Source organism: Homo sapiens, chromosome 14, assembly GCF_000001405.40.
Source record: "Homo sapiens chromosome 14, GRCh38.p14 Primary Assembly".
NCBI classification, from domain to species: Eukaryota; Metazoa; Chordata; class Mammalia; order Primates; family Hominidae; genus Homo; species Homo sapiens.
This window is the reverse complement of record NC_000014.9, coordinates 102,368,925-102,396,617: the sequence shown is the minus strand read 5'-3', so window position 1 is coordinate 102,396,617 and position 27,693 is coordinate 102,368,925. Positions and strand designations below refer to the sequence as shown.

Sequence of the window (27,693 nt, the reverse complement as noted above, 5' to 3'; positions counted from 1 at the left end):
CAGATCCTGCCAGTACAATTGATGTCTAGGTGTGGAGACAGATGACTGGTGCTCCCTCTTCCACCATTTTCCCCAAATACTCTCCTTCCTCTCTAGGTTTTTAATCTTTGAAATGAAAACACAAAAAAACAAAAACAAAAAAACCCCACCTCATTTCTAATGACGAAAATGCTGATCAATCAAGTATGAATATGCTGAGCTCTTATTAAAAGATGGGCCGGGTGCAGTGGCTTATGCCTGTAATCCCAGCATTTTGGGAGGCCAAGGTGGGCAGATCACCTGAGGTCAGGAGTTCAAGACCAGCCTGGCCAACACGGCGAAACTCCGTCTCTACTAAAAATACAAAAACTAGCCTGGCGTGGTGGTGTGTGCCTGTAATCCCAGCTGTTCGGGAGGCTGAGGCAGGAGAGCAGCTTGAACCCATGAGGCAGAGGTTGCAATGAGCTGAGATCGCGCCACTGCACTCCAGCCTGGGCAACAGAGCAAGACTCCATCTCAAAAAAAAAAAAAAAAGAGTACTAAAGAACTTCAACAAGAAAGGTATTTCCCCCAACACCTGCTCAAAAACCAAGAATCTGGAGTCACAAGAGCTGCCCCAGATCCAAGTTCTACTTCACCTGATCAACAGGGACAATTCATGAAGTGAACACTTGTTATCCATAATCTACCTGCCCCACAGGTTTTGCTGAGAGGGTTATAAGATGATGCGTCTAAATATGACTTATAAACTAATTCCTACCATGTTTTGGTTTTCAGATCAATAATCCTATTAAAGTTTAATATGTTGGTTTATTTTAGTTTAGTTTAGTTTAGTTTTTTGGAGACAGAGTCTCGCTCTGTCGCCCAGGCCGGAGTGCCACGGTGTGATCTCGGCTCACTGCAACCTCTGCCTCCCGGGTTCAAGCAATTCTCCTGCCTCAGCCTCCTGAGTCGATGGGATTACAGGCAGACGCCACCATGCCCAGCTAATTTTTGTATTTTTAGTAGAGACGGGGTTTCACCATGTTGGTCAGGCTGGTCTCAAACTCCTGACCTTGTGATCCACCTGCCTCAACCTTCCAAAGTGTTGGGATTACAGGCGTGAGCCACCGTGCCCGGCCCAACATGTTGGTTTATTAAAAAGCACATGTATAAGCATTGCTCACAGATGTTCAGGCTTCTGGTCTGAGTGGTCTTTTTTATTTTGAAAGTATTCATTCAGAAAAATTACACAACTGTTTTGACCTTGCTAAGATATATGGCGACATCTTCAGTAAACCATTTTAATCTTCAATAGAGTAATTTATATAGTAATCAACCTGCCAAATATGCAAGAAACAAATATACCTCCTTGCTCTGGGTACCAAGTGAGCTGCTATAACAATACAAAATAAAGTAGGTCACAGTCCCAGCCCTCTTAAAGCTTAGCTGTTGCACATGAAAAGCCGCCTACAGTGAGTTGAGGTGGTAATGAAGGAGCTCACTTTCATCTGGTACTTGAAAGCTTTCAGGGTATTTTCATGGACTATAAATATATCTAGTGTCAGATCGTGATCTAGGTTAAGAGATTTAGATCTTAAGCTACAGCAAGAAAAAGGGGGATCCCTTGAAGATTTCTGATTTTGCCAGTGTATCAGTCAGAGGCATTTCTGACAAACACGATTAGGAGCAGGACAGGACGGCGGAAGGAGGGAGTGGGGCAAGTCAGGAAGCCGCTGGGAGTGTTTCACAATAGCTCAGGCTAAGGTAAGTAAGGGCCCAGTCTAGAAAAGGGGTAAACAGAACAGGCATGAGGGCAGTGAAATCGTGATGAAGACAGACTCCGTCGAGACCTTGTGAGAAGGATGGCAGCAACAAAGAAAACAGGACAGCAGCTTGTCTTTGTTTTCCTGTGCCAGGTAATGTGTTAAGCCCTTTAAATGCATAACTGGATCCTCAAACAGCTTTCTATAAGGGAAGGTGCTGTAGTTAGCCACATTTTACAAATATGGGACTGAGCTCCAGACAGGTTAACTAATTTGTTTTTTGGTTTGTTTTGAGACAGGGTCTCGCTCTGTCACCCAGGCTGAGTGCAGTGGCCCGATCATGGCTCACTGCAGCCTTGACCTCTCAGGCTCAAGTGATCCTCCCACCTCAGCCCCTACAAGTAGCTGGGAATACAAGTGTGTGCCACCACACCCAGCTAATTTTTTATTTTTTGTAGAGACAGGATCTTGCTATGTTGCCTAGGCTGGTCTCAAACTCCTGGACTCCAGTGATCCTGCCTCAGCCTCCCAAAGTGCTGGGATTACAGGTGTGAGCCACCGTGCCTGGTAGTAATTTGTCTAAGGTTACAAAGCTAGTGAAAATCAAGAGTCAGGATTCACACACAAATGTGACACTCTCCAGAGGCCCTGTTCTGCCTCTGTGCTCGATACTTTCTCCGTGAATTAACCCAAAGGACTTGGCGATAGAGGATTTGGTAGGTTTGTGGAAAGGAAGGAGAATGAGGGAAACTTTATGATCTGGAGTTGGGTAACATGAGATGAATGATACCATTAACAGAATTCACTGGCATTGCTTTGAAGGGAAAATGTGATGTAATATGTTTTAAAATGTACAGTCTTGACATGGTGGCAAGAAGTTGAAAACAAAATATTTTCCTTAGAAATTTATCATTATAAAAATGAACTCATCAGGAATTAAAATGATTTACTAGAGATTTTGCCATGTCATAGCACAAGTTCAAAATGGCTGTGAAATTTTTCTGAATGAATGGTTCCAAAATAAAAATGATCATGACCAGGCGCGGTGGCTCATGCCTATAATCCCAGCACTTTGGGAGGCCGAGGCGGGTGGATCATTTGAAGTCAGGAGTTCGATACCAGCCTGGCCCACATGGAGAAACCCCATCTCTACTAAAAGTACAAAAATTAGCCAGGTGGTAGTGGTGCGCACCTGTAATCTCAGCTACTTGGGAGGCTGAGGCAGGAGAATCGCTTGAGCCTGGGAGGCGGAGGTTGCAGTGAGCCAAGATCATGCCACTGCACTCCAGTCTGGGCAACAGAGTGAGACTCCGTCTCAAAAATAAATAAATAAATAAATGATCATGTAGAGGGGGCTGGAAGCCTCAATACTGGTGTGCAGTGCTTGTATGTGTGCTTTGTAATGTATCAGTGTCCTTTGTAATGTAACCAATGAGCTTGAGTTAATGTTATTTAATATGATTATTAATAAATGTCATAGTTATTGATGTAAGAATCAAAACATCCCAGACATCAGATTATTAACACTTAACTACAGTTCATATAGAAATAGAATATGAGGCTTTAATTTTGCACAATACAATAGCCTAGCTATCCCAAAACACCCCTCTCCAAACACCTGGCAATGCTGAGTGCAATATATAACAAAGCCTTTCAAATGCACAGCTGAATTTTCAAGAAAGTATGGAAAATCCACAGGACCCCAAAACCAAGAAGAATGCCCCCAAACTAAAACAGAAGCTAGCCCTGAAGCTACAGGCTACCCTGTAACTATCTGGCACACCTCTGGAGCCTTGGTTTTCAGAGCGGAGTAGATGATGGGGAGCTGGAGCTGATATTCTCTGCCAAGCCAGAATCCCAAGGACCTAACCCTAAGTGAAGGAGTAAGCTAGGGAAAAATTGATTTGCTGGCAAATGGAGCTGGCAAGGAAATCTGTCTTATCTCAAGCATTGATTGGAACGAATAAAAAAGAATCTTTCCGAAGAATGTGTCATCATAAGCCTGCCCCATTCAGCATCAGAGTTTGAATTTATTCTCTTTCCAAGCAAAGCTCTATGCAGACGGTTAATCTGAAGTGCTTCTATGTTGGTAGCACTCCAAGGTGCCTGGCATTGGTAAACATAAACCCCATCTGTGGAGCAGTCCCGATCCAGGTCCCCCAGGGTTCTCATACATTAGGATCAGCCACATTGCTCGTAATTAGAAATTACGATAGGGAAGCAGGCCCATGAATGAGTCAAGTAAAACAAGCCATAACAGCACTGAACAACCCCAAGTATTTCACTTAGATTGAAGAACACAGAACATAAAAGAAAAATGATTAAAATGTTTTAAAAATAAAACAGGAAACTGAAATGTAAGCAAAGAACAACTACTATTGGAAATAGAAATGAAAAAATCCAAGAGAATTTAAAATGTCACTGGGTGGAATGAACAGCAAATTAGTCACAGCTGGAAAAAAAAGTATTGAACTAGATGACAGATCTGAGGAAATTACCTACCATGCAACAAAGAGATGAAAAGATTCAAAACATGAAAGAGAAGTTTAGAGACATAGAAGAGAGAACATAAAGGTCCAAGCTACACATAAGTGGGTTCTCAGCCAGGCGCAGTGGCTCACGCCTGTAATCCCAGCACTTTGGGAGGCTGAGGCAGGTGAATCACCTGAGGTCCAGGAGTTCATGACCAGCCTGGCCAACACAGTGAAACCCCGTCTCTACTAAAAATACAAAAAAAATCAGCTGGGTGTGGTGGCGAGCACCTGTAATCCCTGCTACTTGGGAGGCTGAGGCAGGAGAATCACTTGAATGTGGGAGGCAGAGGTTGCGGTGAGCCAAGATCACACCATTGCACTCCAGCCTGGGCAACAAGAGTGAAACTCTGTCTAAAACAAAACAAAACAAAACAAAAAACAAACAAAAAAAGGGGTTTCAGCAGGAAATGAAAAGAGAGGGTAATGAAAAGTGGTATCTTCAGAGATAAAGGCTAAACGTTTTCCAAAATTCACCAAAGACATATCCTCAGAAGCTCAACTTTTTCATAAGACAAGGGTGCTGCCTTCAGGAGGCCTCACAATTTAGGAAAAGGAGCAAGACTCATCAATAATACAAGAGCAAAGCACTATTGGCACTGACACCCATGTATAGTGGGTAATGGGGAGGATGTGATCAACTCTGCCAGGTGCAGAGAGGGGAGGGCAGGAAAGGTGCTTAGGATGCCAGCTGGTTAAATATGAAGTACCTCATTTTATGGTATCCTCCTTGCCTTCATTTTTAAAATAATGATTATATATCCATGACTATATATAACATGTACAGCTTAAATTAGAGTTACTAAAAAATGAGCACCCATGGAATCCCCATCTAGCTTGGGAAAGGGACCATTAACAGCACCTTTGAAGCTCTTGTGTGCCTCTGCCTGACTACATACCCCACCCCACCAAAACCACTCTCCTAACATTGAGATGAAATATTCTCTTGCTTTGATTCATAGCTTTACCACATGCGTGTATATCTTTAAAAACCATAGTTTTAGGCCTGGCACAGTGGCTCATGCCTGTAATCCCAGCACTTTGGGAGGCCGAGGTGGGCGGATCACTTGAGGTCAGGAGTTCGAGACCAGCCTCGCCAACATGGTGAAACTCCCGTCTCTATTAAAAATACAAAAAATTGGTTGGGCGTGGTGGTGCACACCTGTAATCCCAGCTATTTGGGAGGCTGAGGCAAGAGAATCTCTTGAACCCAGAGGCAAAGGTTGCAGTGAGCTGAGATCATGCCACTGCACTCCAGCCTGGGCAACAGGGTGAGAATCTGTCTCAAAAGACAAAAAACAAATCCATAGTTTTACCTAACATGCAGATTCACAATGGTGAATTAGCTACATGTAGGGTCTGGCCCTCTACCTTCCTGACTCAGATACTCAATCTTTTTAGCGTCCTGCTGTTGATCAGCCCAGGGAGGTTGTCTCATGATCATATAATATACAAGAAATTGAAGTTTAAGCTGGAAAGCCAATTTATTATTTTACATTGAAGTAATGGTCATACAAATCAGATGCTAAGATAGGTACTATATATATATATATATATATTCTTCCCCTGATATACGTGGGCAGCAACTTTTAGTCCAAAAGTTGCTTGGCAAGCATGGTGCAATTTCTGATCAAACCACTGTAAGTGTTAGATCTCAGGAAGGGTCCCACAGCATGAGTCATTTCAGATACAAATATCTGCCCAGAGCCAGCCACACCAGCGGGATCACAGCTCTCAAAAGCTATCTCTCCCACTAAACAGGCAATTTGGCCCAATTTCTGGTTTTCCTAACTAACACAGTGTAGAGTCCACTTTCTTCCTTCTGCCACACACATTCTCTTCTTTTTTTGATCTAGGGACAATTCAGTCTTATTCTAGCCAGGGAGCCATTCTGTCTCTTTAAGATAACTTTGCCCATTTCTGATCTCATCTATTGTGTTTAACTCTCCTTTGCCTTTATTTCCAACTTCCCAGGAGGCATTTATTGCTACCCTCATTGTAGCAACATAACTTCCTCAAACAGAAATCCAGCAATCAAAAAGTTTAAGGAAAAAAAAAAGGCTTTTGATTTGAAAGGTGTCAGGAATGGTTTTCTGGACAAACATCTCACCATTACAATAGCATTCAGCTAACCTTCTTAGCCTCCTTGGCAGGCAGTTTTCCTTTCATACACAAGACAAAACTACATTGGGAAAAAGTGTTCTTTGTGAGCAGGTTCATGGGAACTGAAGTCTGACAAAGCTTTCTTTATGAGCTGCTTTTAGTAGGTCAAAGCTTAACCTTCAGTAGAAACCACTAGCATACCAAAGAATTGATCTGAAATATTTTGAAATATTTAAGACCAAATATGAATTCATTCAATTATTAAGAATGGTTACACTATTTTCCTCCTTTTACTAACAAAGAACATCTGTTTAATGTTTGAATACTAACACAACTTTTTAATGATCTGGAAGTTAAACAAAGATATCTGCTTTTCTGGAATAATTTTCTTAACTCCATAGGACAAAACAAAGTAGGGAATATCCACTGGAGTTGAAGGAAGAAGCCTAAAGCCAGGGACTCTATCATTAGAGAAGATCTAAAGCAGAAACAGACAAGGCAAATTCCCGGTAAAGGAAATAATTACACTGCCAGCAGAATCTCAGCAGTCAAGAGACAGTGGCATTAATACTTTAAAGTGCTCAAAATAACCACCATATGAAGTGAGGTAGGGATCCAGTTTCATTTTTCTTCCCATTCATATCCAGCTGTCCCACATCATTTACTGAAAAAGACTTTGTCGTATCACCTTTGCAATTACTCAAGTATCCATATACATGTTGGTCTTCTGACTTCTCTAATCTGTTCCAGTGATCTATGTATCTTTTCTTGTGCTAATACCACACTCCCTTAATTACTAAAGCTCTATAAGTTTTGTTACCTAATAGCAACTTCTCCCATTTGCTTCCTCTTTTCCACTAGTATGACTATTCCACCCACTACAATTTCATATGCATTTTTAAATCAGCTTATCATTTTTATTTATGTATTTATTAAGACAGAGACTTGCTCTGTCACCCAGGCTGGAGTGTAGTGCCATAATCTCGGCTCACTGCAACCTCTGCCTCCCAGGTTCAAATGATTCTCCTGCCTCAGCCTCCCAAGTAGCTGGGATTACAGGTGTGTGCCACCACACCTGGCTAATTTTTGTATTTTTATTATTTATTTATTTATTTATTTTTATTTTTTTGAGATGGAGTTTCACTCTTGTTGCCCAGGCTGGAGTGCAGTGGCACAATCTCGGCTCACTGCAACCTCCACCTCCCAGGTTCAAGCAATTCTCCTGCCTCAGCCTCCTGAGTAGCTGGGACTACAGGCACGTGCCACCACATCCAGCTAATTTTTTTTTTTTTTTTTTTTGAGACGGAGTCTTGCTCTGTCGCCCAGGCTGGAGTGCAGTGGCGCAATCTCGGCTCACTGCAAGCTCCGCCTCCTGGATTCACGCCATTCTCCTGCCTCAGCCTCCCGAGTAGCTGGGACTACAGGTGCCTGCCATCTCACCCGGCTAATTTTTTATATTTTTAGTAGAGACAGCATTTCACCATGTTAGCCCAATGGCCTCCATCTCCTGATCTCGTGATCCGCCCGCCTCAGCCTCCCAAAGTGCTGGGATTACAGGTGTGAGGCACCGCACCCGGCCTTTTTTTTGTATTTTTAGTAGAGACAGGGTTTCACCATGTTAGCCAGGATGGTCTCGATCTCCTGACCTCGTGATCCTCCTGCCTCGGCCTCCCAAAGTGTTGGGTTAACAGGCGTGAGCCACTGCGCCCAGCCAATTTTTGTATTTTTAGTAGAGATGGGGTTTCACCATACTGGCCAGGCTGGTCTCAAACTCCTGACCTTAAGTGATCCGCCCACCTTGGCCTCCCAAAGTGCTGGGATTACAGGCATGAGCCATCACACCTGGCCAGCTTGTTTTTTTAAATTAACACTAAAAAAAAACCTATTGGAATTCAGTTGAACTCAGGTAAATTTAGGGAGAATGGACATCTAATAAAATGTATTTTTTTTCCCTAAGAGTCACTGTTAAAAACATTTGAAAGCAAATTTTCCAGCAACCAATGAATGGAAGCAATCCATGCTAAGAAGGACACCCGTGAAGCCCTGTATGGTAATGTTATCAACAAACCAGAACACAGACATCACAGGCTCCTCATCACTGGACCTAAAAGTTACTCCCACAGGGAAAGACAATGGAAGGCACTGGGCAAATGCACCTTGGCTGCTATGGTGAGACAAAAACTGTCCTTTCTGCACCTCTTTAAAATATGTCTATAAAGTATAAGCCAATGAAATACTTGTAACATTCTGAAGCATGACTTTTCTCAATGCGAAATATCCAAGACATGTTTCAGGCTCAGTGCCTTTCCCTTCCGTTTTCTTGGAATACAGACATGTCAGTATGGTGTGTTGGTCATGCTCTTTACGTCTTTGTTCAACTGTCACCTTCTCAGTCAGACCTTCCCTGGAATGCTATTTAAAACTGCAACCACCCAGCCAGGTGTGGTGGCTCACGCCTGTAATCCCAGCACTTTGGGAGGCTGAGGCGAGTGGATCACGAGGTCAGGAGATCAAGACCATCCTGGCTAACACAGTGAAACCCTGTCTCTATTAAAAATACAAAAAATTAGCCAGGCGTGGTGGCAGGCACCTGTGGTCCCAGCTACTCGGGAGTCTGAGGCAGGAGAATGATGTGAAACCGGGAGGCAGAGCTTGCAGTGAGCCGAGATGGCGCCGCTGCACTCCAGCCTGGGGGACAGAGCAAGACTCCGTCTCAAAAAAAAAAAAAAAGACAGCTCTGAAGGCAAATCCATGAAATCTCATTGGCTTGTTGAATGCTAAGGAAAAGGGATCATATGTTTAACTTCAAAACAGAACATTAGAAACTCAGGTCAGGTAGTCTTTTTGGTCTATGCTTACACATATCAGACCTATATATTTAACACATTTCTAACATTTTTGTACTTGTTATTAGCTCCTTGCAACATTTTCTCAGTGCTTTTGGCACTAGGTAGGAAGAATCTGTGTTTCCATCTGCCCTCTCCCACTAACTTCTGTAGAAAAAAATGGTTTCCAAAGCACCATTCTTGAAAACACATGCAAGGCTATATTTACCACAGAAAAGGTCTGCTTTCCTCTTTAGGAAACATAACTTCATTTAAAAACATAATCTTTCAATCATGCCATACATGGATTTATTTGAGCATAAACTTTTTTATTTATCTTCCCATAAAATCTTAGATTTTCCCTAAACTAGTTAATGCATCTTTAACTTTCGACTTGGACATTCCAAAGAGACCACGCATCTGTATTCCATATCCTTGAAATCCACAGACTGCACAGAGGGCCTACCTCCTCTCACAAGAAGTAAGCACAATGGTTAGGCAATCAGAGATACGTGCCTTGAAGCAGGAATCTTAGAATTTCTTTATCTATAAAAAGTGGGGATTGTACCAAATGATTCTAAGACCCAGCCAGCTCTCATGATGAAAATGACAACAACAACAACATAAATATTTAATTCATCTCTGGGGTTAAACCACTAATAACTGGCAGCCAAAGCTCAAAACAAATCTTTGTGTTGCTGTGTTTATGCGTGTAATATGTACCAAAAATTTCTAGTAATTCCTCAGTAAAGTTAAAAAAATACGTAATTCCCTTTCACTCTTCCTCCCTCAGCCCATCCCAATCTTAATCCCTACCTAGAGTTAAGTAATCATGTGAAAATTCCTTCAGACCTTTTCCTATGTGTTTACATATAGGTATACAGCTTTGTTTCCAAGCTCTAAATCTTCTACCTCTAAATTCTACATTCTTGCCAAAAAAAAAATTTTCACTTTATTTTATTTTTGAGACAGAGTCTTGCTCTGTCGCCCAGGCTGTAGTGCAGTGGCGCAATCTCTACTCACTGCAACCTCCACCTCCTGGGTTCAAGCAATTCTCCAGCCTCAGTCTCCTGAGTAGCTGGGATTACAGGTGCCCGCCACCACACCCGGGTAATTTTTATATTTTTAGTAGAGATGGGGTTTTGCCATGTTGCTCAGGCTGCTCTCAAACTCCTGAGCTCAAAATGATCTGCCTGCCTCGGCCTACCAAAGTGCTGGGATTATAGGCGTGAGCCACCGTGCCTGGACAAGAAATTTATTTTATACCTCCCTTGTGATTCTCCACAATTATAAGTTTGATATCCTATATATAATGGGCGCTCAAAAAATGCTGTTGATACTCAGGGCTACCAAGTATGGATTTTGGCCCCAGCAAAATACATTTTTTTTCCAAATGTTAATATTTTAGATTTAAAAAGTTTTTGTAGGTACACAGCAGGCATATGCATGTATGGGTGAAATACATTTAAAGGATAACTAGCTAAATTTTTTTTTTTTTTGAGGCAGGGTCTCACTTTGATGCCCAGGTTAGGGTGCAGTGGCTCGATCTCGGCTCACTACGACCTCGACCTCCTGGGCTCAAATGATCCTCCCACCTGAGCCTCCTGAGTAGCTGGGACTACAGGTACACGCCATCACGCCTGAATAATTTTTGTATTCTTTCGTAGAGATGGGGGTCTTGCTGTATTGCCAAGGCTAGTCTCGAACTCCTGAGCTCAAGCTATCTGTCCGCCTCGGCCTCCCAAAGTGCTGGGATTACAGGTGTGTGCCACTATGCCTGGACTAGCTAAAATCTTTACATGGGATTCTCCCAGAGTCCCCTTCTATGGTGCTGGATCCAGTAATTTGTACCAGCTTCCCTCAATCTCTGGTACAGCCTGTGGATGCTGCTCCCTCAAACTCTGGTAGAGCCTGTGGATGCTGTTCCACCAAACTCTGGTAGAGCCTGTGGATGCTGTTCTACCATGTCACAGTCCTTCAAAGCTCACGTGACTTATCATATCTGCTATGGTTTAGATGTGGTTTGTCTTTGCCAAAATTTATGTTGAAGTCTGATCCCCAAAGTGGCAGTGCTGGGAGGTGGGGCCTAGTAGGAGGTGTTTGGGCCATGGGGGTAGATCCCTCATGAATAGATTAATGCCCTCCTCATGGGTGAATGAGTGCTCACTCTCCAAGGACTGGATTAGTTTCCAAGACAGCAGGTTGTTAAAAAGAGTCTGGCTTCCTTGCACGAGGATGGCACACAAATTTGTGAAGCACTCCATACTAAAAGAAAAAGAGCCGGGTGCCGTGGCTCATGCCTGTAATTCCAGCACTTTGGGAGGGTGAGGCATGTGGATCACCTGAGGTCAGGAGTTTGAGACCAGCCTGGCCAACATGGTGAAACCCTGTCTCTACTAAACATACAAAAATTAGCCAGATGTGGTGGCGCACACCTGTAGTCCTGGCCACTCGGAAGGCTGAGGCAGGAGAATTGCTGGAACCTAGGAGGCAGAGGTCGCAGTGAGCCGAGATTGCACCACTGCACTCCAGCCAGGGCAACAAGAGTGAAACTCTGTCTCAAAAAAAAAAAAAAAAAAAAAAAAAAAGGAAAGGAAAAGAAAATGAGTCTGGCATCCTTGGTTCCTGTCTTGCTTCCTCTCTTGCCATGTGACCATGTGAGATATAGATATATATATATACACACACATACATATACATATATATGTGTATATATATATACACACACACACACATATATATATATATATTTTTTTTTGAGGTGGTGTCTTGCTCCATCACCCAGGCTGGAGTGCAGTGGTGCAGTCTTGGCTCACTGCAATCTCCGCCTCCCGGGTTCAAGTGATTCTCCTGCCTTAGCCTCCTGAGTAGCTGGGATTACAGGCATGGGCCACCATGCCTGGCTAATTTTTCTATTTTTAGTAGAGATGGGGTTTCACCATGTTGTCCAGGCTGATCTCAAACTCCTGACCTCGTGATCCGCCTGTCTTGGCCTCCTGAAGTGCTGGGATTACAGGCCTGAGCCACCATGCCCGGCCTACCATGTGATCTCTTGATACACACCTGGTCCCCTTCCAATTCCCACCATGAGTGGAAGCAGCATGAGGTCCCCACCAGATGCAGCTGCCCAATCTTGGACTTTCCAGCTACAGAATTGTGGGCCAAATAAACCTCTTTAAAAAAATTAAAAATAGTAAAAAAATAAAAACAACTTCCGGCCGGATGCAGTGGCTCACACCCGTAATCCCAGCACTTTGGGAGGCCGAGGCAGGTGGATCACCTGGGGTCGGGAGTTCGAGACCAGCCTGGCCAACACGGAGAAACCCTGTCTCTACTAAAAATACAAAATTAGCCAGATGGGGTGGCACATGCCTGTAATCCCAGCTACTCAGGAGATTGAGGCAGAAGAATCGCTTGAATCGGGAGGCAGAGTTTGCAGTGAGCCGAGGTTGCGCCACTGCACTCCAGGCTAGGCAACAAGAGCGAAACTCCATCTCAAAAAAAAAAAAAAAGAACAACTACTAGTCTTAGGTATTCTGTTAAAGGAAAACGAAACAAAGATAATATGATAGAGAACTAATTATTGGTTAAACTGTAAAAATGGCCATCAGATGTAATTTGTAGTTTCATTCTGGGGAGCAATAAACTTCAACTTTAGTATTTGTTTTTTAGTTTGGTGACTGAAAATATTTAAATAGTTATACAGTTTTTCTAAAAGACAATACGGGACCGGGCGCAGTGGCTCATGCTTGTAATCCCAGCACTTTAGGAGGCCGAGGCAAGTGGATCACTTGCGATCAGGAGTTTGAATCCAGCCTGGCCAACATGGTAAAACCCTGTCTCTACTAAAAATACAAAAAGTAGCCAGGCATGGTGGCGGGCACCTGTAATTCCAGCTACTCAGGAGGCTGAAGCAGGAGAATCACTTGAACCCAGGAGGCGGAGATTGCAGTGGGCTGAGATCGCTCCACTGCACTCCAGCCTGGGAGACAGAGTGAGACTCTGCCTCAAAAAAAAAAACAAAAAAAACAAAAAAGACAATACAATGGTGATCAATGAGACACATGTGCTTTATAAAAGAAAACTGGGTTGTAACTGCAACCTGAGTAAGGAGTCCAAATTCCGCTAACGCATATAAACCTTACTGCCAGAGGTTACTTAATAGTGAATTAAAACCCAAGGAGCTAGCAAAACTACTCTGTAGAAGTCAAAACTACTCTGTGTTAGAAGTCAGAATAGTTACCTTGGGGAGGGGTAATGATTAGGAGGTAGCACAAGAGAATCTTCTGGGGTGCTGGAAATGTTCTGTATCTTGAACTGGGTGATTAAACAGGCATACACATATAAATTCATCACATGGTACTATTAAGATTTGCAGGCTGGGCACAGTGGCTCACGCCTGTCATCCCAGCACTTTGGGAGGCCGAGGTGGATGGATCACCTGAAGTCTGGCGTTCGAGACCAGCCTGGCCAACGTGGTGAAACCCCATCTCTACTAAAAATACAAAAAATTAGCTGGGCGTGGTGGCAGGCGCCTGTAATCCCAGCTACTTGGGAGGCTGAGGCAAGAATCACTTGAACCCGGGGGACGGAGGTTGCAGTGAGCCGAGATCGCACCATTGCACTCCAGCCTGGGCAACAAGAGCAAAACTCCGTCTCGAAAAAAAAAAAGATTTGCAAACTTTGTGTAAATTATATTTTAAAGAAAAGTGAAAAAACAAAGTAAAACACAAGGGCCTGGAAAGCTTAGTCTACTCTAAATGTGTTGAGGTATGTTTTCTAACTCAGGACATGGTCTATATTGATGAATGTTCCATGTGCACTTGCAAAGAATGTATATTCAGCTGAGTGTTCTATAAATGTGAATTAGACCAAGTTGGCTGATGGTGTTGTTCAGTTCTTCTACATCCTGTTGGTTTTCTGTCTACTACTTCTATTATTGAGAGAGGAATACTGAAGTCTCCACATGTAATTGCAGATTTGTCCATTTCTGCTTCGTGTATTGTGTGAAGCTATGTTGTTAAGGGACATATACGAATCTGTTATTATGTAATGTCTTTTTTACCCCTGGTTATTTCTTTGCACAGAAGAAAACCTTGATATTAATACAGCCACTCCAACTTTCTTTCTTTTTTTTTTTTGGGACGGAGTTTCACTCTCATTGCCCAGGCTGGAGTGCAATGGCGCGATCTTGGCTCACTGCAACCTCTGCCTCCTGGGTTCAAGCAATTCTCCTGCTTCAGTCTCCTGAGTAGCTGGGATTACAGGAGCCCGCCACCACACCTGGCTCATTTTTTGTATTTTTAGTAGAGACAGGGTTTCACCATGTTAGCCTGGATGGTCTCGATCTCCTGACCTCGTGATCCACCCGCCTCGGCCTCCCAAAGTGCTGGGATTACAGGCGTGAGCCACCGTGCCCGGCCTATACGTAATTTTTCAAAATCTACTTAGAATCAATATTGTACCTCTTCAAGAAGAATGTACAAATGTATAGGATACCTTACTCTCCCTTACTTATGTTGTACTCGTCTTAGATATTACTACATCTACATCTGTTAAAACTTGATCAGTTATAATTTTTGTTTTCAACTGTCAAATATATTTTAAAGAACTCAATAGGGGAAAAATCATCTATTGTATTTATTACCCAGGTATTTACCATTCTTCATTCTTGATGTACAAAGTTCCCTTCTGTCTAAAGAACTTCATTTAGCAATGACTTTAGAGCAGGTCGGTTGGCAACGAACCCTCTTAAGTTTTCCTTCATCTGGTAATACTTTCATTTCACCTTTCTTGATAGGTATTTTCACTGAGTAAAGAATTTCGGGTTGACAATTCTCTCAGAACTTCATTTTATTTTTCAGATGGAGTCTCACTCTGTCGCCTAGGCTGGAGTGCACTGGCACGATCTTAGCTTACTGCAGCCTCTGCCTCCCAGATTCAAGCGATTCTCATGCCTCAGCTTTCTCAGTAGCTGGGATTACAGGCATGAGCCACTATTCCCGGCTAATTTTTGTATTTTTAGTAGAGATGGGGCTCTCGCCATGTTGGCCAGATTGGTCTCGAATTCCCGACCTCAAGTGATCCACCTGCCTCAGCCTCCCAAAGTTCTGGAATTACAGGTGTGAGCCACCATGCCCGGCCTCTCAGCCACTTTAAAAATGTGCTACTATCGGCCAGGCGCAGTGGCTCACAGCTGTAATCCCAGCATTTTGGGAGGCCGAAGCGAGTGGATCACCTGACATCAGGAGTTTGACACCAGCCTGGACAACATGGTGAAACCCCGTCTCTACTAAAAATAGAAAAATTAGCTGAGCTTGGTGGCGTGTGCCTGTAATCCTAGCTACAAGGGAGGCTGAGGCAGGAGAATCGTTTGAACCCAGGAGGTGGAGGTTGCAGTCACTACGCTCCAGCCTGGGCAACAAGAGCGAAACTCTGCCAAAAAAAAAAAAAAACAAGCTTGGTGCAGTGGTTCACGCCTGTAATCCCAGCACTTTGGGAGGCCGAGGCGGGCAGATCACGAGGTCAGGAGATCGAGACCATCCTGGTGAACATGGTGAAACCCCGTCTCTACTAAAAATACAAAAAAATTAGCCGGTGTGGTGGCGGGCACCTGTAGTCCCAGCTACTTGGGAGGCTGAGGCATGAGAATCGCTTGAACCCGGGAGGCGGAGGTTGCAGTGAGCCGAGATCGCGCCACTGCACTCTAGCCTGGGCGACAGAGCGAGACTCCGTCTCAAAACAAAACAAAAACAAAAAACCAAAAAAATGCTACTGTCTTCCAGCTTCCATTGTTTCTGATATGGTTTGGCTGTGTCCTCACCCAAATTTCATCTTGAATTGTAGTTCCCATAATCCCCACATGTCGTAGGAGGGACCAGGTAGAGATAACTGAATCATGGGCATGGTTTCCCCCCTCCTGTTCTTGTGACAGTGAGCCCTGTGAAGAGGTGCCTTCCACCATGACTGTAAGTTTCCTGAGGCCTCCGCAGCCATGCGTAACTGTGAGTCAATAAAACCTCTTTCCTTTATAAATTATACAGGCTTGGGTATTTCTTCATAGCAGCATGAGAACGGGCTAATACAGTTTCTGATGAGAAATCCACAGTCATTTAAATCATTGTTCCTCTACAGGTAATACGTCATTGTTCTCTGGCTATTTTTAAGATTGTGATCTTTAGCAGTGTGACTAGGACGCCTCTGTGCATGGATTTTAAGATGGTGATCTTCAGCAGTGTGACTAGGGTGCCTCTGTGCATGGATTTTAAGACTGTGATCTTCAGCAGTGTGACCAGGACGCCTCTGTGCATGGATTTTAAGATGGTGATCTTCAGCAGTGTGACTAGGGTGCCTCTGTGCATGGATTTTAAGACTGTGATCTTCAGCAGTGTGACTAGGACGCCTCTGTGCACGGATTTTAAGATGGTGATCTTCAGCAGTGTGACTAGGACGCCTCTGTGCATGGATTTTAAGATGGTGATCTTCAGCAGTGTGACTAGGGTGCCTCTGTGCATGGATTTTAAGATGGTGATCTTCAGCAGTGTGACTAGGACGCCTCTGTGCATGGATTTTAAGACTGTGATCTTCAGCAGTGTGACTAGGACGCCTCTGTGCATGGATTTTAAGATGGTGATCTTTAGCAGTGTGACTAGGACGCCTCTGTGCATGGATTTTAAGATGGTGATCTTCAGCAGTGTGACTAAGATGCCTCTGTGCATGGATTTTAAGATGGTGATCTTCAGCAGTGTGACTAAGATGCCTCTGTGCATGGATTTTAAGATGGTGATCTTCAGCAGTGTGACTAGGGTGCCTCTGTGCATGGATTTTAAGACTGTGATCTTCAGCAGTGTGACTAGGGTGCCTCTGTGCATGGATTTTAAGATTGTGATCTTCAGCAGTGTGACCAGGACGCCTCTGTGCATGGATTTTAAGATGGTGATCTTTAGCAGTGTGACCAGGACGCCTCTGTGCATGGATTTTAAGATGGTGATCTTCAGCAGTGTGACTAGGATGCCTCTGTGCATGGATTTTAAGACTGTGATCTTTAGCAGTGTGACTAGGACGCCTCTGTGCATGGATTTTAAGACAGCGATCTTTAGCAGTGTGACTAGGACGCCTCTGTGCATGGATTTTAAGATTGTGATGTTCAGCAGTGTGACTAGGACGCCTCTGTGCATGGATTTTAAGATTGTGATGTTTAGCAGTGTGACTAGGACGCCTCTGTGCACGGATTTTAAGATTGTGATCTTTAGCAGTGTGACTAGGGTGCCTCTGTGCATGGATTTCTTTGATAGATCTTGTTGGGGTTCATCGTTGGATTCACGAGTCTTCCTTATAAAGTGTCTGAAGCATTTGAGAGATTTCAGACTATTAAACTCCTAACTACAGTTTGAAAGATTACGTAATGGTTTTAAATGTTTGGGGAATTTGATCAGTCGAATCCATGAGCTATTACTCAAAGAGAAGAAATAGCAGTAGTTCTAATTTTTATACAAAAAATATTAATACACGGGCAGGTGTGGTGGCTCACGCCTGTAATCACAGTACTTTGGGAGGCTGAGGCAGATGGATCACCTGACGTCAGGAGTTCAAGACCAGCCTGGCCAACATGGTGAAATACCGTCTCTACTAAAAATACAAAAATTAGCTGGGTGTGATAGCGGGTGCCTGTAATCCTAGCTGCTCTGGAGGCTGAGGCAGGAAAATTGCTTGAACCTGGGAGGTGGAGGTTGCAGTGAGCCGAGATCATGTCATTGCACTCCAGCCTGGGCGACAAGAGTGAAACTCCGTCTCAAAAATATATATATATATTAATACAGACCCTAGAGACAGTCTGCCCAAGTTCACATGATGGTGCTGCCATTTACTACCAGCCAACCTCAGGCAAGTCACCTACCCTCTCTTCACCAGCTGTCTCCTTAGTAAATGAGGAAGATCATAATAACATCTGCCTCAGAGAGTTTTTGTGAGGATAAAATGAGTTAATATATGTCTGTCCAAGAAGCATAGTGAGAAGGAAAAAATAATGTTTTAAAAAATTTAAAAAATATATTTTTAAAGAATAATGTCTGACACATAGAAAGGGCTGTATGTGTATGAACCATTTTGATTATTTTAAAATGAGCACAGAGGCTTAAATTAGTTACGTTTTAAATGAAAACTTTAATATATTGAATACTGATTAAAACACAAGTATTTGTAAACATTTCTCTTAGATACAAAAGCTGTATCTTGGTCCATAAAAGCCCCCTAACCACAGACAGAATAGAGTCCCATGTGGTGGAAGCCACAACTCAGTCAACTTTGAGTCTCTCACAAAAGTGACGTACTCAATAAACTACAGATATTGACTAAGTGGGTGAATTACATTACAGTTCACCAATAGTTGGTGCCAGCCACAACACAGTCAAATAACATCTCCACCAATATCTACAATACACAGAAATGCCTGAGTCCACAGCACTGCAGAAACAGATTGGTCAGGATCCCAATGCTATAGAAGAGACCTCAGCTCAGCTAAGAGGTGCATATTCTGGCAATGAGCCAATATTCATATACATCCTTTTTTCATCATAATTTCAAGAGAAGAACTAGAGATTATTCAAAACTTTGAAAAACAGGCATGTGCCTGCTCCTGTAAACACTTAGGAAAAAAATATCTGCTTTCAAAGTGTTGTAGTAAGTTTTAAATACTAAAATGTTCTCTTTTTTTCTTTCTTTCTTTTTTTTAAGATGGAGTCTCACTCTGTCACCCAGGCTGGAGTGCAGTGGTGTGATCTTGGCTCACTGCAACCTCCATCTCCCAGGTTCAAGCAATTCTCCTGTCTCAGCCTCCTGAGTAGCTGGGAGTACAGGTGCATGCCACCACGCCCAGCTAATTTTTGTATTTTTAGTAGAGACAGGGTTTCACCATATTGGTCAAGGCTGGTCTCGAACTCCTGACCTCAGGTGATATTCTCTTTTAAAGTGATGTTAGGCCAGGTGTGGTGGCTCATGCCTGTAATCCGAGTACTTTAGGAGGCCAAGGCAGGAGGACTGCTTGAGCCGAGGAGTTCAAGACCAGCCTGGGCAACATAGTGAAACCATGTCTCTACAGACAAAACAAAACAAAAACTAGCTGGGTGTGGCAGTCATCCCTGTGGTCCTAGCTACTCAGGAAGTTGAAGCAAAAGGATCACTTGACCCCAGGAGTTTGAGGCTACAATGAGCTATGATTGTCCCACTGCACTCTAGGCTGGACAACAGAGCGAGACGCTGTCTCAAATAAATAAATAAAGTGATGTTAGATTTTTGGAGGCAGGAAAAAGTTAAAAACACCAATGTTTTTAGTTATATTCCACTTCAGCTAAAGATGGTTTTAAAGTATTGTTTGGGTGAGGTATTAAGGCCATATTCTGGCAAATCAGAAGTAAATTATCTCATCCTAGAACACAAGCATGTTAAGCGTCAGCTATGGCTCGTGCCCCCTCAGGTGAAAAGCAAAGCAAGGCTCACCTCAAAGTTGTACTTCCTCATCTGGTTGAGGTGCCGGCAGTACAGATAGAGCATGCCGATGCTGCTGCCCACCGCGATGTAGTCCCCGTTGGTGTCGAGGGCCGTGAGATAGACCACGATAGAGCGGAAACCCTTCTGGATCTTTGTCGGAATGGCATTGAGGAGATAGTACAACGGGCAGAACTCTCTGAATGTAACAGGCTCTGATATCGATGCCATGGCCAAGGTTTCCACAGACTATCTTCACGCAGGAAAAGGAATGTTTATTTGTCATCTAGGGAAACCTGGGGGCTACAGAACAAAGCATTACAATCCTTTCAATGCCTAGTCATGGCAAAAAGAAGTATGTTTAATACTGGCAACATGGAACTTTTAGGCAGGTAAACATTATAGCTGGAGCTTAAATAAACAGGGAAAGTAAACACGTGTCACTAAGATCACTTTTGAGCATTTTAACTCAAAATGCACTTCAGTATGTTCTGACCTCTATGATTTATGTTGTAGTGAATGCCATGGAGGAGTGGAAAGAATACAAAAAACAAAACAGTTCTTACTCCCAAGTAGCTTATGATCTAGACAGGGAGGCAGATGAAATAGTGAAAAGACACAAATCCACAAGTAATGAGGTGATAATTTGTGGGTTTTCATGAGGAGAGAGAGATCAGTGGGGATTAGAGTGAGTGTAGACATGGCTTCACTGAACACATCCTGAACTATGAAGCCCACCAGGTTGGACAGGATATGGAAAAGAGAAACAGGAAAGACACTCTATTAGGAGAATAGTGGGCCAATCTCAGATGCAGATATGCTGGCTGTGTTAATGAGATGGTGAAGAACAGGTGCCCTGGCCTGGTTGGATGCCCACAGCCTCCTCAGCGCTCAAGAGTCCAGCCACACAGCACCTTACTCTGTTCCACATGGAGACCCACCCACTTGCACTTTGGCTTCAAAGCTTCCCTTACTAAAGATATGCAACCCTTCCATGCACGCCATCTTTCACAAAGTGCTCACTCACTGATTTAATCCTGACCCTACCTTATAAGGCAGGTAGCATCATCCCTAACTTTTAGAAGGGACTGGGGGCCAGAGGGTCATGAGACTCACTCAAGATCAAACAGCCGAGACTTGACTCTAGGTCTTTTCCCTCCAAGTCCTAGGCTCTTGACAACAGCACAGTCACAGCTCTGACAGGCAGGCTGTAACAGTCCAGGTAGATGCTCTGTACCTGATTACACCTGGAGGGATATTTTAGCTCTACAGGTTCTATGGAGACTTCCAAGCTCCTCTCACAGAAACTTCTTGCATCATGGATTTATGGTCTCTTTGAACTGTAGGTTTTCTATTTCTACATAGTGGACTGACCAACTTCCAGTCCCTCTTCTGATCAAATTAATCCAGCTCGTTCTCACCCCAGGGCCCTTGCATTGGCTGTTCCGTCCACTTGGAATGTTCTTTCTCTACTGAGCTCTTCCTCCTTCTCAATTGTGCCCTCTTTCATGAGGCCGTACTTGATTTCTCCTCCCCCTACTGAGTTCTCTCTCTGTCACCTCTCCCAGTTTTACTTTCTCTACACAGCCCCTTTCTTCTTTTTTTTTGAGACACAGTCTCACTCTGTGACCCAGGCTGGAAAGCAGTAGCAAGATCATGACTCACTGACGCCTCAAACTCCTGGGCTCAAGTGAACCTCCTGCCTCCACCTCCCACGTAGCTGGGACTACAGGAATATGCCACCATGCCTGGCTAATTTTTAAATTATTTTGTAGAGATGAGGTCTCGCTGTGTTGCCCAGGCTGGTCTCAATCATGGCTTACTACAGCCTCAAGCTCCTGGGCTCAAGAGATCCTCCCATCTCAGCCTCCCAAAGTGCTTGGATTACAGGTGTGAGCCACCGTGTCCGGCCTATCCACACATCTCCTTTCTTTTCTCTGACTGGTTATCTGCCTGCCTGCCACTCTGACACACACACTAGTCTGTAAGGCCCATAACAGCAGAGCCCATATCTGCCTCACTCACCCCTCTTCCCCCCGCAGGGAGAAAAGGGCTAGGCACATCAGAGGCATTCAGCAAGTATTTGTTGCATAAATGAATGAATGATGAAACAGAAAATTTGGCCCAGGAACAGTGGCTTATGCCTGTAATCCTAGTGCTTTGGGAGGCCAAGGTGGGAGAACTGCTTGAGACCAGGAGTTCACAACCAGCCTGGGCAACATAGCAAGACTCCCGCCTCAACAAAAAATATTTTTAAAAATTAGTCAGGCATGGTGCTACATGCCTGTAGTCCTAGCTACTCATGAGGCTGAGGTGGGAAGATCACGCTTTTAAAACAAATATTTCATTTTAAAAAATAGAGAGGGTTTCACTATGTTGCCTAGGCTGGTCTCCAACTCCTGGGCTCAAGTGATCCTTCCTCCTCAGCTTCCCCAAGTGCTGGGATTACAGGTATGAGCCACTGCACTCAGCCAGGAAGATCACTTGAGCCTAGGAATTTGAGGCTGCAGTGAGCTATGACTGTGTCACTGCACTCTAGCCCGAGTGACAGAGTGAGACACTGTCTCTTAAATGAATAAATAAATAAAAGGAAAATATGCAAGGAAGGAATGAGTGACAAGAACAGAAGAACAAAGGCTGTGCTTTCTGGGATCATTTCTATAGTTCATTACTAGAGAAGTTTCTCTGAATGTGTAGAGCAAAAGAAAAAATATTAAATATAAAATTCTAAAAAATGGAATGGAAGAGCAGCAAAGTATCATTTTTTCTTCAATATGACCCCAATTCAATGCTGGAATAATAATTCCCTAAATCTGTATAGCATATCCAGTTTTCCAAGCATTTTTAGATTCTATTTCTTTTCTTTTTTTTTTTTTTTTTTGAGACAGAATCTCGCTCTGTCCCCCAAGCTGGAGTGCGGTGGTGCGATCTCGGCTCACTGCAACACTCGCCTCCTGGGTTCTTCTGCCTCAGCCTCCCGAGTAGGTGGGACTACAGGCGTGTGCCACCAAGCCCGGATAATTTTTATATTTTTTAGTAGAGATGGGGGTTTCCCCATATTGGCCAGGCTGGTCTCGAACTCCTGACCTCATGATCTGCCCATCTGAGTCTCCCAAAGTGCTGGGATTACAGGTGTGAGCCATCGCGCCCAGCCTTAGATTCCCATTTCATCTGACAGTCACAATAGCCAATACAGGCAGAACATATCCACGTATGAGAACTTTCTTAAAGGTAAGTAAATAACAATAATAATAATAATTGCATTCCTCTGTGATACTTAAGAACCCAATCCACCCTCTTTTGCAGTAATAATAATGGGAATAGCTAATGTTTTTACAGATGCTCCTCAACTTACAATGGGGTTATGTCCCAATAAAACCGTCATAAGCTGAAAAGATAAGTCACAATACATTTAATACACCTAACCTGCCGAACATCTTAGCTTAGCCTAGCCTAACTTAAATGTGCTTAGAATACTTATGTTAGCCTACAGCTGGGCAAAATCATCTAATCAAAGCCTATTTTATCACAAAGTGTTGCATATCTCATGTAATTTATTTAATACCATATTGAAAGTGAAAAACAGAATGGTTGTATGGTTACTGGAAATACAGTTTCTACTGAATGGTATCGTTTTCGCTCAATCTTAAAGTCAAAAAATAGTAAGTTGAAACTCTGTAAGTTGAAAACCGTCTGTACTTAATACAAACTGTTCTTAGCACACAAACCCATTAAATCCTCACCAAAAAGAAAGAAAAAAAAAACAAACATGAAGTAGGCATCATAGTTACTTCCATTTTTTTTTCCTGCAATCCCCAAACATTAGACATGAATGTTACCTCCACTTCATGGATGCAGAAACTTCTTATTCTTCTTTCCAAGGCACAGAAATAGTAAAAGGCTTTGTTTCCTTAAAGAGTGCATACATACATACTCATACACACATTGATGTGCCATAATTTATTTAACTTTTTAAAAATAAAGGTTTCTTTTTATAACAGTTATAAATGCTCACTATCAAAAAGTTGCTTTTTTTTTTGAGACTTGCTCCGTCGCCCATGCTGGAGTGCAGTGGCATGATCTTGGCTCACTGCAACCTCCGCCTCCTGGGTTCAAGTGATTCTTGTGCCTCAGCCTCCCGAGTAGCTGGGATTACAGGTGCCTGCCACCAGGCCTGGCTAATTTTTGTATTTTTAATAGAGATGGGGTTTCACCATGTTGATCATGCTGGTCTTGAACTCCTGATCTCAGGTGATCCACCCACCTTGGCCTCCCAAAGTGCTAGGATTACAGGCTTGAGCTACCACGCCCAGACTTGCTGGGATTACAGGTATGAACCACCATGCCCGGCCTCAAAAATTTGTTAATATAGAAAAGCACAAAGAAGGCTGGGCGCGGTGTCTCACACCTGTAAACCCCAGCACTTCAGGAGACTGAGTCAGGGCGGATCACCTGAGGTTGGGAGTTCAAAACCAGCCTGACCAACATGGAAAAACCCCATCTCTACTAAAAATACAAAATTACCTGGGCGTGGTGGCGCATGCCTGTAATCCCAGCCACTTGGGAGGCTGAGGCAGGAGAATCGCTTGAACCCAGAAGGCAGAGGTTGTGGTGAGCCAAGATTGTGCCATTGCACTCCAGCCTGGGCAACAAGAGTGAAACTCAATCTCAAAAAAAAAAAAGAAAAGAAAAGTACAAAGGCAGCTGGGTGCAGTAGGTCACACCTGTAATCCTAGCACTTTGGGAGGCCAAGGTGGGTAGATCACTTGAGGCCAGAAATTTGAGACCAGCCTGGGAAACATGGCAAGATCCTGACTCTGCAAAAAATACAAAAATTAGCCAGGTGTGGTGGTACACAGAGAATCGCTTGAGCCCAGGAGATCAAGGCTGCAGTGAGCTGATTATACCACTGTACTCCAGCCTGGGTGACAGAGTGAGACCCTATCTCAAAATAAAAGGACAAAGAAGTAAAGAAAAGTCACAATCTCATCATACTGAGATATGCCATGTACACAGATAGCTACAGATATATGTATATAAACATATATGCACACACACAGACTTTTTCACTTAATAAATCATGAGTATTTTCCATGTCATTAAATATTCCCCTAGAATGTGATTTTTAGTGACTATACAGAAAAACTGCAGAGAACACACTGTATGGATAAACCAAAATTTTCTCAACCAAAAGATTTTAATTTTGCCATCAAAAACAACAGAAATATATCCAAGTATATTCTTGGAGTACACTGCAAGAGGTGGAAATGTTGAATTAAAAAAAAATGTATTGCCAAACTGCCTTGAAGAATGTTCATATCAATTTATGCCTCACACGTTTTTCCAAAGGATATCTAGAGGCCCGTAAGCCATAGCACCCAGATGAGTCAGGACAGCCATGCCTGGGGGCCAGGTGCCCAAGAAGTCCCCAGCGGGCAGAAGAGAATCCATGCTATTTCCCTATCTGGGGGCCTCTGGATGAGCTTAGCACCAGGCTTGTCTGTCCTTCACCCACCATTCAGATAGGAGGAGCAGGTTGAGGCCAACTCCCAGCAAAACTGTCCTCCTGGCAGAAACAGTGTCTAGGACGGGCTGAGGAAAAGGCATAGAGCCGCTGTCTCACTGTCCTGCGCTAGGTTTGGGAAAAACAATGCAGACACAGCAAACATTTCTGCTAAGACTTTCTGCTCCTCCTCCTTACCCAATGTTCACCCAACTCCATGTTCCACCTCACCCAACCCCCAGGTCTCAGACCCACAGCCACAGAACTGACCCTCTTTCCACCGAGGAAGAACTGCACAATGAGTGGCTAATGATACTGAAGTGAAAAAGACCCAAGTTCAAATCCCAATGCTCCTAAAACTACCTGAGGCACCCTGGAATAACTGCTCAACCTCTCTAGATCTCCAATTACCATCTGAAATGGGATTAGTAAAACTTACATCCTAGCTATAAACACAGAGTAAATGAACAATGTCAAAGACACTTACCTATCTTGTATCTTCTACCAGTTGCCTGGGCCATGCTGACCAAGCCAGAAAAGGAGCATCATCCCTGATCCCTCCTCCTCTCCTCTCCATGTCCCCGATTCTCCATTCAGTACATCTCCCACACACCTCAGTGTGTCACCCCTAGCTCGGGCCACCATTACCTCTCACCTGCAGCTCTCTCTGGTGCCCAGCTCATCTGCCCGCCTCTCCCTCCCCGTCATCCACGTGGCAAACAGAGGGATTTTCCTGATGTGCAAAGCTGATGTCATCACTCCCTTGCTTAACACTCTGCAGTGGTCCCCATCTTCCTCCTGCTAAAGCCCAAGTGTTGCTGGCTTACAAGAACCTTGGTGATCTGGCCTCTGCCACCCGAGGATCTCTCACTTGTCCTCCAGCCACACTGAATTGCTTCTAATTACAACAGGCCTGGCCTCTCACGTCCTGGCCTTCACACCTTCTACTCCCTATCTCTGGCAGGCACTTTCGTATCTGCTTTAGCTCATGAGATCTCCTAGCAAGCAAGCGGAAGTACTGAGCTCTTCACCAGTAAGTATTGCCTAATGTTATTTCCTCCTTTAAAAATCTTATTACCGGCCGGGTGTGGTGGTTCACGCGTGTAATCCCAGCACTTTGGGAGCCTGAGGTGGGTGGATCACCTGAGGTCAGGAGTTTGAGACCAGCATGACCAACTTGGTGAAACCTCATCTCTATTAAAACACAAAAATTAGCTGGGCATGGTGGGAGGTGCCCGTAATCTCAGCTACTCAGGAGGCTGAGGCAGGAGAATCGCTTGAACCCAGGAGGCAGAGGTTCCAGTGAACCAAGATTGTGCCATTGCACTCCAGCCTGGGCAACAAGAGCGAAACTCTGTCTCAAAAAAAAAAAAGTTATTCCTCAGCCAGGCACAGTGGCTCACATCTGTAATCCCAGTACTTTGGGAGGTTGAGGTGGGCAGATCACTTGAGCCCAAGGGTTTGTTTGTTTGCTTGTTTGTTTATTTATTTTTTTGAGACAGAGTCTCACTCTGTCGCCCAGGCTGGAGTACAGTGATGCGATCTCGGCTCACTGCAAGCTCCGCCTCCCGGGTTCATGCCATTCTGCCTCAGCCTCCTGAGTAGCTGGGACTACAGGCACCTGCCACCACGCCTGGCTAATTTTTTGTTTTTTTGTTTTTTTGTTTTTTTTAGTAGAGACGGGGTTTCACCGTGTTAGCCAGGATGGTCTCAATCTCCTGATCTTGTGATCCACCCGCCTCGGCCTCCCAAAGTGCTGGGATTACAGGCGTGAGCCACTGCACTTGGCCGAGCCCAGGGGTTTGACATCAGCCTGGGCAACATGACAAAACTCTGTCTCTACAAAAAATACAAAAAAGTAGCCAGGTGTGGTGGTGCGTGCCTGTAGTACCATCTACTCAGGAGGCTGAGGCACAAGAATCAATTGAGCCCGGAGGATCGACTGAACCTGGAGGATCCATTGAGCCCGGGAGTTCGAGGCTGCAGTGAGCCATGATCAAGCCACTGCACTCCAGCCTAGGTGACAGAGCAAGACCCCATCTCAAATCAATCGATCAATAAAACTTTTTTAAAAATAAAAATATTTTTCCTCATAGTAGCTCTGTCAAATGATGACATTTAGCTTTCAAGAATCCATCCGCTTGATTTGATGCTATCCACTGACAGCTCGCAGGCTCTACACAAGAAGGGCTTTGAGACTGCAGTCTAGCTAGAAGGGAGTCAAGAGATTTGCCTCAAAAGTGCATTTGCAGAGCAAGTGCACTATTCTACTCAGATAATATGTTTATTTGTGGTGGCTTAGGAGGTCTTAGTGGGTATTACAAAAGGTCAGAATCCCTGACCATCTCCTTGGCACACTCAGTGATAATCCTACCAAAAGCAACTTCAGAACCCAGGGAGGGAGCGCAGGGCTGCCCTTGCTAGGCTCCAGCAGGTATTAGAAACTGTCACAATTGTCCGGCAGGTAACAGCATAATCACATTTTGAATCAAAAGTGTTGTTCAAGCTGAAATCCTAGTATTCAC

General features: G+C 44.0%; 1 protein-coding gene, 1 long non-coding RNA gene and 1 pseudogene across 3 annotated transcripts in view, besides 2 other annotated features; 2 read left to right on the top strand and 1 right to left on the bottom strand.

The window, feature by feature from the left end:
- TECPR2 (tectonin beta-propeller repeat containing 2) overlaps nucleotides 1–27,693 on the bottom strand; it is a 139,537-nt gene that overhangs the window by 105,860 nt on the left and 5,984 nt on the right. For both annotated transcript variants that reach the window (NM_014844.5, NM_001172631.3), the window contains exon 2: nucleotides 19,678–19,968. In NM_014844.5, coding sequence (NP_055659.2) covers nucleotides 19,678–19,896 — 219 coding nt within the window. In that variant the 5' untranslated portion in view covers nucleotides 19,897–19,968. The remainder of the gene's footprint in view (nucleotides 1–19,677; nucleotides 19,969–27,693) is intronic.
- On the top strand, nucleotides 1,806–26,874 carry LOC124903389 (uncharacterized). The gene is made up of 3 exons (XR_007064350.1): nucleotides 1,806–1,877; nucleotides 26,133–26,201; nucleotides 26,843–26,874. It is a non-coding gene; the product is annotated as an uncharacterized LOC124903389 (long non-coding RNA).
- Nucleotides 21,120–21,189: an enhancer, noted in NCBI's record as "active region_9072". NCBI's record gives its function as "activates an Ori minimal core promoter by ATAC-STARR-seq in GM12878 lymphoblastoid cells {active_cell/tissue: GM12878}" and the evidence as "EXISTENCE:reporter gene assay evidence [ECO:0000049][PMID:35858748]".
- Nucleotides 21,220–21,279: an enhancer, noted in NCBI's record as "active region_9071". NCBI's record gives its function as "activates an Ori minimal core promoter by ATAC-STARR-seq in GM12878 lymphoblastoid cells {active_cell/tissue: GM12878}" and the evidence as "EXISTENCE:reporter gene assay evidence [ECO:0000049][PMID:35858748]".
- On the top strand, nucleotides 22,299–22,380 carry LOC124903440 (uncharacterized; annotated as a pseudogene).